The following is a 10,255-nucleotide window of genomic DNA, read 5'->3' on the forward strand; positions in this document are numbered from 1 at the left end:
CAGCTCACGGCAGCCTCTGCCTCCTGGGTTCAAGCAGTTCTTCTGCCTCAGCCTCCGGAGTAGCTGGGATTACAGGCACGTGCCACCATGCCTGGCTAATTTTTGTATTTTTAGTAGAGACAGGGTTTCACCATGCTGGCCAGGCTGGTCTGGAGCTCCTGACCTCAGGTGATCTGCCCGCCTCGTCCTCCCAAAGTGCTGGGATTACAGGTGTGAGCCACCATGCCCAGCCACCACATTCAAATTGTATCCACTGTATCCTTTATTAAAGACCTTATTCTGTTTCCACCCCAACTGGGTTTGCTGCAGTTCACTTCTGACACTATTCAGGATGTGGAGACCTCACAGTCTTCCATAGTACTGTCCTCACCTCAGATGCCAGCTGCAAGTCTTGGGAGTCCCCCGGCTACCTGCAGGTCAGCCAGCTAACAGCAATAAATTAAGGGGTTTCCAAGGTCTCAGGTTCAATAATTTGTTAGAATGACTCATAGAAATCAGGAAAGCTCTGTATTTAAAGCTACAGTTTTATTAGGATACATATTTGAGCAAGATCTGGAACTGGACAGTTTCCATGCCCTCTCCCTGTGGAGTCAGTTTGTCACTCTCCTATCACATCAGTGCATTTACCAACCAGAAAGCTCCACTGAATTTACTGCCCAGCATTTTTATTGAGGTTTTATTACACAGGCACAATTGATTAAATCTGTGCCACTCAATCTCTAGCCTCTCTACACTTCTCAGAGGTCAAGCAGCTGCAAGTCCCACCCTTGTAATCACAAGCTAGTGTTTCTGGTAATCAGACCCCACCCTGAAGCTTTCTAAGGTCCTACCATGAATTACCTTATTAGCATAACAAAGACCTCCTGTCAGGAAATTCCAAGTGTTTTTGAAGCTCAGTGTGGGGCTTTATTATACCTCAGAGCCAAAGAATCTTCCCCATATGCATTTATTTCTCTCAGGAGACCTTTAATGGAGGCTAGAAAATGATCCACTTCATGTTACACATATTGTATGATATACTTATCTCTTATGTACACACGCATACTTATATAGATATATGTATATCATATATATCTATATAAGTATATATATACTATATAGTATGTCTATATATACTATATAAATATATATACTTATCTATATATACTATAAAGATACTATATATAGTATAGATACTATATATACTATATAGATACTATATATAGTATAGATACTATACTATATATAGTATAGTATCTATATATACTATAAAAGTATACTTATGTACATATATATGGCCAGTCATGTTTTAATATGGAAAATAGCCCAACCATTGTATATTTACCAGCCTTTCCAGTTGATTCTGATCCACATCCATATTTGAGTATCATTGTAGTAACTTATTTGCGTAGTTACCTTCCTCTGCTTCCTGCATTATCTTACTAATTTCTTTGTCTTTCTTGTCCATTTTTTCAGATAACACAGATATCCTTGTGAACCCTGTGTCATTTACCTAGTAGATACTATTCTTACTTTAATTTTTCCATTTCTATTATAAAAGTTTAATTTTTCACAAATAGGAAAAAAGAACATTTACCATTTTATTTTCTTTCAGATCTGGAATCGATGTGTGAAACCAAGTTATTATCTCTAAAGAAGGAAGTTTATGAAATAGAATTATGCCAGAGGGAGATAATGGGACTTACAAAGCATGGCCTTGAGTACTCCAGTTTTGGAGATGTTTTGGAATATAGAAGCCACCTTGCAAAACAACTGGGATATCCAAATGGGCATTTTAGTCAAGAAATATTCACTCCTGAATACATGCCCACATTTATTCAACAGACATTCCTTACTCTCCATCAAATAATTAATAATGAAGACAGACCCTATGAATGTAAGAAATGTGGAAAGGCCTTTAGTCAGAACTCACAATTTATTCAACATCAGAGAATTCATATTGGTGAAAAATCTTATGAATGTAAAGAGTGTGGGAAATTCTTTAGTTGTGGTTCACATGTTACTCGGCATCTGAAAATTCATACTGGCGAAAAACCCTTTGAATGTAAGGAATGTGGAAAGGCCTTCAGTTGTAGCTCATACCTTTCTCAACATCAGAGAATCCATACCGGTAAGAAACCCTATGAATGTAAGGAATGTGGGAAGGCCTTTAGTTATTGCTCAAATCTTATTGACCATCAGCGAATTCACACTGGTGAAAAACCTTATGAATGTAAAGTATGTGGGAAAGCCTTTACTAAGAGCTCACAACTTTTTCAGCATGCACGAATTCATACAGGTGAGAAACCCTATGAATGTAAGGAATGTGGCAAAGCCTTTACCCAGAGCTCAAAGCTTGTTCAACATCAGAGAATTCATACTGGTGAGAAACCCTATGAGTGCAAGGAATGTGGCAAAGCCTTTAGTAGTGGCTCAGCACTTACTAATCATCAGAGAATTCACACTGGTGAGAAACCCTATGATTGTAAGGAATGTGGAAAGGCTTTTACTCAGAGCTCACAGCTTCGTCAACATCAGAGAATTCACGCTGGTGAGAAACCCTTTGAATGTCTTGAATGTGGGAAGGCCTTTACTCAGAACTCACAACTTTTCCAGCATCAGAGAATTCATACAGATGAAAAACCATATGAATGTAATGAATGTGGAAAGGCCTTTAATAAATGCTCAAACCTTACTCGACATCTGAGAATTCACACTGGTGAAAAGCCCTATAACTGTAAGGAATGTGGGAAGGCTTTTAGTAGTGGCTCGGATCTCATTCGTCATCAGGGAATTCATACTAATAAATAATAAAAATTAAAGCCCCTGTCACCTTCCTCATATTTTAAACCAAAAATCATGTCTAATAGTTACCCTCTTCCGTAGTTTTTTTTAAAACTTTGTATTTAAATTTTGTATCCAAATGTATTTCATTCCAGGTTATAAATTCGGAGTCTAAAGTGACATTCCCTCTCTCCCCCAGTCATATACCGATGCCAGCTGTTCTATAATTCTTTCATTCATTGTTTTGTTCTACTTTCTTGGTGACACATTATACTCATGTTTATATTTGCTTGTGTTTTTAGAGCTATCTTTTCTGATCTGTGTATTTGTGTTTGCACCAGTATCACACTGTTTGAATTGTGTGACCTTTAATATTTTTAAATTCCTTGTGGAGGTTTAACTTTGTTTTTGAAGTTAGTGTTAGTCTTTTTGTTTTATTTTATTATTATTATTATATGTTTTTTGAGACGGAGTTTCACTCTGTTGCCCAGGCTGGAGTGCAGTGGCGCAATCTCGGCTCGCTGCAACCTCCACCTCCCGGCTTCAAGCAATTCTCCTGCCTCAGACTCCTGAGTAGCTGGGATCACAGGCGTGTGCCACCACACCCTGCTAATTTTCTATTTTTAGTAGAGACAGGGTTTCTCCATGTTGGTCAGGATAGTCTTGAACTCCTGACCTCAGGTGATCCACCTGCCTCAGCCTCCCAAAGTGCTGGGATTACAGGCATGAGCGATTGCACCTGGCTTTATTTTTTGTTGAGACGGAGTTTCGCTCTTGTTGCCTAGGCTGGAGTGCAATGGTGCAATCTCGGCTCGTCACAACCTTCGCCTCCCAGGTTCAAGTGGTTCTTCTGCCTCAGCCTTTTGAGTAGTTGGGATTACAGGCATGTGCCACAACACCCGGCTAATTTTTTGTATTTTTAGTAGAGACGGGGTTTCACCATGTTAGCCAGGATGGTCTCAATCTCCCGACTTCAGGTGATCCACCCGCCTCGGCCTCCGAAAGTGCTGGGATTACAGGCGTGAGCCACTGCGGCCGGTCTTTTTATTTTACAAATGTACATTTTTAATTGTTAAGCCAAAATCACAAAGCAAAAAATTACAAACTAAAAAGCCAAAATTAATTGTAATCATACTTATAGATGGCTGCTCTCAATTTGGTAGAGAAAATCGTGCTATACTTTGCTTTTTTAAGAAAGTGTAATTATGATATGCATGCTGTACCCTTAACTGCTTTTATCATGCCAAAGATTTCATGAGTGCCATTTCAGTAAATATAGATTTTTATTATTTTCATGACATATTTAATGACTTTAAAATGACTATTCCCATTATGGTTGCCACTAAATTTTTGCAGCTATAAAAGCTGACCTCGGCTGGGCACAGTGGCTCATGCCTGTAATCCCAGCACTTTGGGAGGCCGAGGTGGGCGGATCACAAGGTCTGAAGATTAAGGCCATCCTGGCTAACAGTGAAACCCCGTCTCTACTTAGCTGGGCGTGGTGGCATGTACCTGTAATCCCAGCTACTCGGGAGGCTGAGACAGGAGAATTGCTTGAACCTGGGAGGCGGAGGTTGCAGTGAGCTGAGATGGTGCCACTGCACTCCAGCCTGGGGGACAGAGTGAGATTCCGTCTCAAAAAAACACAAAAACTGCTGACCTCATTGGATGCTTATTTTTACTTTTAAAACATTTATTTTAATTGCTAAAATTATCTACATTTTCTCCTTGTGAGCTGTTTTGTTCCCTTACATCAATCCTAATCCCAATGCCATACTAGAAAGTAACACTGTTATGAAAGTGTTATTTATCAATCCAGATATTAATTTTTTGTTTGTTTGTTTTTTTTTTTTTTTGAGATGGAGTTCACTCTGTTGCCCAGGCTGAAGTGCAGTGGCACAATCTCAGTTCACCACAACTGCTGCCTCCCGGGTTCAAGCGATTCTCCTGCCTCAGCCTTCCTAGTATCTGAGACTACAGGCGCACGACACCATGCCTGGCTAATTTTTGTATTTTTAGTAGAGACAGGGTTTCACTATGTTGGCCAGGCTGGTCTTGAACTCTTGACCTTGTGATCCACCCACCTCGGCCTCCCAAAGTTCGGGGATTACAGGTGTGAGCCACTGTGCCCGGTCAATTATTTTTTCTTATAGCTATTAGTGGTGTTTTTGTTTTTTGAGACACAGTCTCGCTCTGTTGCCCAGGCTGGAGGGCAGTGGTGCAATCTCGGCTCACTGCAACCTCTGCCTCCCGAGTTCAAGTGAGTCTTCCGCCTCAGCCTCCCGAGTAGCTGGGACTACAGGCGCGCGCCACCATGCCTAGCTAATTTTTGTATTATTAGTAGAGATGGGGTTTCACCATATTGGCCAGGCTGCTCTCAAACTCCTGACCTCGTGATCCTCCTGCCTTGGCTTCCCAAAGTGCTGGGATTATAGGTGTGAGCCACCGCCCCTGGCTGTTAGTGGTATTTTAAAAAATTATGTCTAGGCATCTATAATAAGGCTGTATGTATTGGATTGCTGTGAAGAGTCAATGAATTAATAAATGCAAAGTACCTCAAACTGTTATCACATAATACAGGTTTAGTAAAAGTTTTCCACTATTATCAGTGATATACTCATTATCATAAGTATCTTCATTAGGATTTATGGAAAGGATTTTAACCATGTTGTTTACCTTTGGCAAATTTGTAATTCATGGTGGAAAAAGAGAAACACTTGTAATGAGTATAACGAAGCCTTTCCCTATCATTATTATTCAGTGTGGAATTTTAAAAGGAAGAGAAAAAGTATGTGTGCATAGTCTTTGTTCAGACTTTATCTTTTATGCTACATAAAGAATACCAGTCTGAGGCTGGGCGCGGTGGCTCACACCTGTAATCCTAGCACTTTGGGAGGCCAAGGTGGGTGGATCACTTGAGGTCAGGAGCTCGAGACCAGCCTGGCCAACATGGTGAAACCCCGTCTCTACTAAAAATACAAAAAAAACAAAAACAAAAACAAATAGCCAGGCATGGTGTTGCATGCCTGTAATCCTAGCTACTCAAGAGGCTGAGGTGGGAGGATTGCTTGAACCTGGGAGTTGGAGGTTATAGTGAGCTGAGATTGCACCACTGCACACTCCAGACTGGGTGACAGAGCGAGACTCTGTCTTACAAAATAAAAAATAAACGGTTACCAATCTGAAACCCTGAAAATATGATGAGTAGTAGAAAGCACAGCTGTCAAAAAAGCAGGAAGAGATTATAAAATTTTTTCTAATATTTCCCCCCAAAATGCAGAAAACATACTGGCAACATTATTTGACCAGAAGAAGCAGTACAATAGGATAACCATCAAATATCTGATTATTAATTCAATATTCCCTCTTAATTAACATGGGTTAAGGAATAAATCCCTAATATATACATTATTTAAATGTACATGAAAATGAAAACAATTGAAAAACCTGTGAGTGGCAGTAAAAGTTGTATTGGAAGTTTTATAACCTAATATTTGTGCATATATTGTAATACTAGGAAGAAAAAATATAGAACCCAAGGAACTAAAACAAGCTGAAATGAATTGTGGGAGGAAGGAGGTAGTATTATTTTAAAAGGCAGAAATAATTGAAAGAAAAAAACTGGATCTGAATCCAAAATTGATATTTGATGGAAGAGAAAAAAAATGAGACAAAGTTTAGTGATTCCAGAGGTGAAATAAGGATGACAAATAAACAATATTGTATATGAGAAATTGAAATGGCTATATATGTAAACTTAAAAGAACTGTGTCATTTGGGGTAATGAAAATGTGGCATGGGTAAAGGTTGTACAATTTTGTTTATATACTACAGGTCACTCAACTATACACTTTAAAAGGGTGAATATTATGCTGTGTGAATTTGATCTCAATTTAAAAACTTAAGGCTGGTTGCAGTGGCTCATGCCTGTAATTCCAGCACTTTGGGAGGCTGAGGTAGGAGAATGGCTTGAGGCCAGGAGTTCAAGACCAGTCTAGGTAACATAATGAGATCCCCCTCCCCTCATCTCTACAGAAAAAAAAAAAAATTAAAACAACAAACTTAAAAGTTGGTATTATAGACATTTTTATAATATATCTGAAAATCTGGAAAAAGTCTGTGATTTTTAATAAGTTGACGACATCAGAATTAACTGGAGGTGTAAAATCTTAATAGACCTCCCTCCAGAATAAACTTATTTAAAAAAATAAGACTGGCCAGGCATGGTGGCTCACGCCTGTAATCTCAGCATTCTGTGAGGCCAAGGCGGGTGGATCACCTGAGGTCGGGGATTTGAGACCAGCCTGACCAACATGGAGAAACCCTGTCTCTACTAAAAATACAAAAAATTAGCCGGGCGTGGTGGCTCATGCCTGTAATCCCGGCTACTCAGGAGGCTGAGGCAGGAGAAAGGCTTGAACCCGGGAGGCAGAGATTGCGGTGAGCGGGGATCATGCCATTGCACTCCAGCCTGGGCAACAAGAGTGAAACTCTCTCAAAAATAAATAAGTGAAATAAAATTTTTCTTAAAATATATTTTAAATGTCAAATTGCTACACTAAAAAAGACACCAAGGTAGAGATTTTTATAGGTGAAATCTATGAAATGTCTTAGGAAACTCTTCTAGGACATAGACTGAGATAGCAAATTATCTATTTTTAAAATTTGTCATAATCCTGATGTTACAACCTACTAGAACCCAAAACAATTTGTCCAGAATCAGTTATGAAAATACAGCATTATAAATTAGCAAATCAAATCTAGTAACCCATTGAAAATAAATATTTGTCACATTCTGAATTTAGGAAAAAACAATTCTGATAAATCAAACTTTCTACTTTCTGAAACTTGAAAATCAAATTGATTTAGATAAGATTGTATTTCTTAGTGTCTGAACTCAGGAACCAAATAGATGTGGATAGCATGGGATTTTTGGAATACAAGATAAGATAATTTACATGGGATTGCAAAAGTTCAAATAACTAAAGTTCTGTCAATGAAAATATATGCTCTAACCTCAACATCTTCTAGATGAACCCTTTTTTCTAGCAGTATTTGACAGGATGGGATATATTTTATAAATAAACTTGGACTATTATCCTATCTGCTGCAGTATCACTGTTCATTCATTTATGCCCTTTACTTCCTACTTGAAGGGTCTTTAAACATAGCCAACATATCCAATCATTGCTGTGCATTTTGGATGAGGGTGGATTGCGGGGCTGCATTCAAAGCCATCCTGGGCCACATGCAGCCTATGGAGCGTGGGTTGGATGAGCTTGATGTACCACGTTTTCTTTATCCAGTCTACCATTGATGGGCACCTGGGTTGATTCCCCATCATTGCTATTGTGAATAGTGCTGCGATCAACATACAAGTGCATTTGTCTTTTTGGTAGAATGATTTCTTTTCTTTTGGGTAGATACACAGTAATGGGATTGCTGGGTCAAATGGTAGCTCTGTTTTAAGTTCTCTGAGAAATCTCCAGGCTGCTTTTCACACTGGCTGGACTATTTTATGCTCTCACCAACAGTGTATAAGCATTCTCTTTTCTCCGCAGCCTCACCAGCATCAGTTGTTTTTTGACTTTTTGTTTGAGACAGAGTCTCGCTGTGTCACCCAGGCTGGAGTACAGTGGCATGATCTTGGCTAACTGCAACCTCCGCCTGTTGGGCTCAAACAATTCTCCCACTTTGGCGTCCCAAGTACCTGGGATTACAGGTACATGCCACCGCACCCACCTAATTTTTGTATTTTTTGTACAGATGTGGTTTCACCATGTTGCCTAGGCTGGTCTCAAACTCCTGGGTTCAAGCAATCCCCTACCTTGGCCTCCCAAACTGCTAGGATTACAGGAGTGAGCCACGGCACCCAGCTTATATTTGTGTATATGTTAAATTGTATATGTTATTTTATGTATGTGTATATATTAAGTTGTAGATTCACATATATAATTATATACACATATATTACATTATATGCACATATATTTGTTTACTCGTGCAATTTGTCCCAGCAGAAGTAAAAACTCATATAAGTAAAATAATATTTACAGGCCAGGCGTGGTGGCTCACATCTGTAATCCCAGCACTTTGGGAGGCTGAGGCGGGAGGATCACCTGAAGTCAGGAGTTTGAGACCAGTCTGGCCAACATGGTGAAACCCCGTCTCTACTAAAAATACAAAAATTAGCCGGGTGTGGTGGCGCATGCTTGTAATCCCAGCTACTCAGGAGGCTAAGGCAGGAGAATCGCTTGAACCCGGGAGGCAGGGTTTGCAGTAAGCCAAGATCACACCATTGCACTCCAGCCTGGGGTACAAGAGTGAAACTCCATCTCAAAAAAAAAAAAAAGTATTATTTTTGGTGCAAAAGTACTTTAACATCTTAAATGCTCATATAATGGAAGATACTTTAACTCTTAGAAAGAATGAGTTAGCTCCCTTTCTACTCTAAAGGTATCCTAATATCTTTGTACCTGAAGTGGTGTCTGATTCAAATTGTTATATTAAAAAAGGAAAATGCTTTATAATAATAATAATAATAAAAGAAACTTTATATAGTAGCCCTCCCTTATCTGCAGGAGATGTGTTCTAAGACCCGCAGAGGATGTATGAAACCGTGGATAGTATGACCCAATTGCTGTCGATCAGAACACATTTCTGTTTATGTTTTCCAAGCACAAATTTAATGTTTTTTTTTTTTAATCTTAACTAAGCACTTATCACACGTGGCTGTATTTTTTAGAGCTTGGGGTTCAACAAACAAGACTAGCAGAAATTTCTTTTCCTCCTTACACTTTCACAGCTAGAAGATTTGTTCTTACCATAGATCTTAGCAACCTCAGCACACGACTTATTTTCCTTATTCAGTCAAGAATTTTCACATTTTCACTTAAAGGAAACACTTTAGGGCTCCTCTTCTGCATATCTAAATTGACAGCATCACTACTCTTGCATTTTAGGGCCATCATTAGGTACAATTAGCGTCACTTAAACACAAGCGCTGTGATACTGCGGCAGTCAGTCTGATAACCAAGTTGGCTACTCACCGACTAAGGGTAGCGCATACAGCGTGCATCTGCTGAACAAAGGGGTGTTCATATCCCAGGCAGAATAAAGCAGGACAGTGAGATATTTCATCACGCTCCTCAGAACAGCCCACAATTTAAAGCTTATGAATTGTTTCTTTCGGGAATCTTGCATTTAATATTTTCAGACCACAATTTACTGTGGGTAACCGAAACTGTGGGAAGTAGAACCATGAATAAAGGGGGACTACTGTATATGCTTCTGTATGTGTGTAAATACTTACATGAATCGTGGAGAACATAATGGGAAGATGCTCATCATCTTGTTAACTCGTTATTTCAAGAGTGGAACTGGAGGGGGAATACTGCCTTTCCTTTATATTTATTTGTAATATTTCATTTTCATTATGAACATGTGTTATTTTAGTATTTTTAAATATTAATAAAGACAGGCAAAAACATGT

General features: G+C 39.2%; 1 protein-coding gene across 14 annotated transcripts in view; it reads left to right on the forward strand.

Annotated features, from left to right (window-relative positions):
• The window catches only part of ZNF383 (zinc finger protein 383), a 30,527-nt gene extending 22,661 nt beyond the window's left edge, over positions 1–7,866 (forward strand). For all 14 annotated transcript variants that reach the window (NM_001387597.1, NM_001387595.1, NM_001387598.1 and 11 more), the window contains one exon: positions 1,595–7,866. In NM_001387597.1, the coding sequence (NP_001374526.1) occupies positions 1,595–2,790 (1,196 nt within the window). In that variant the 3' untranslated portion in view covers positions 2,791–7,866. The remainder of the gene's footprint in view (positions 1–1,594) is intronic.
• The last annotated feature ends 2,389 nt before the right edge of the window (positions 7,867–10,255 follow it).

The sequence above is a fragment of the Homo sapiens genome, chromosome 19 (assembly GCF_000001405.40).
Source record: "Homo sapiens chromosome 19, GRCh38.p14 Primary Assembly".
Classification (NCBI taxonomy): domain Eukaryota; kingdom Metazoa; phylum Chordata; class Mammalia; order Primates; family Hominidae; genus Homo; species Homo sapiens.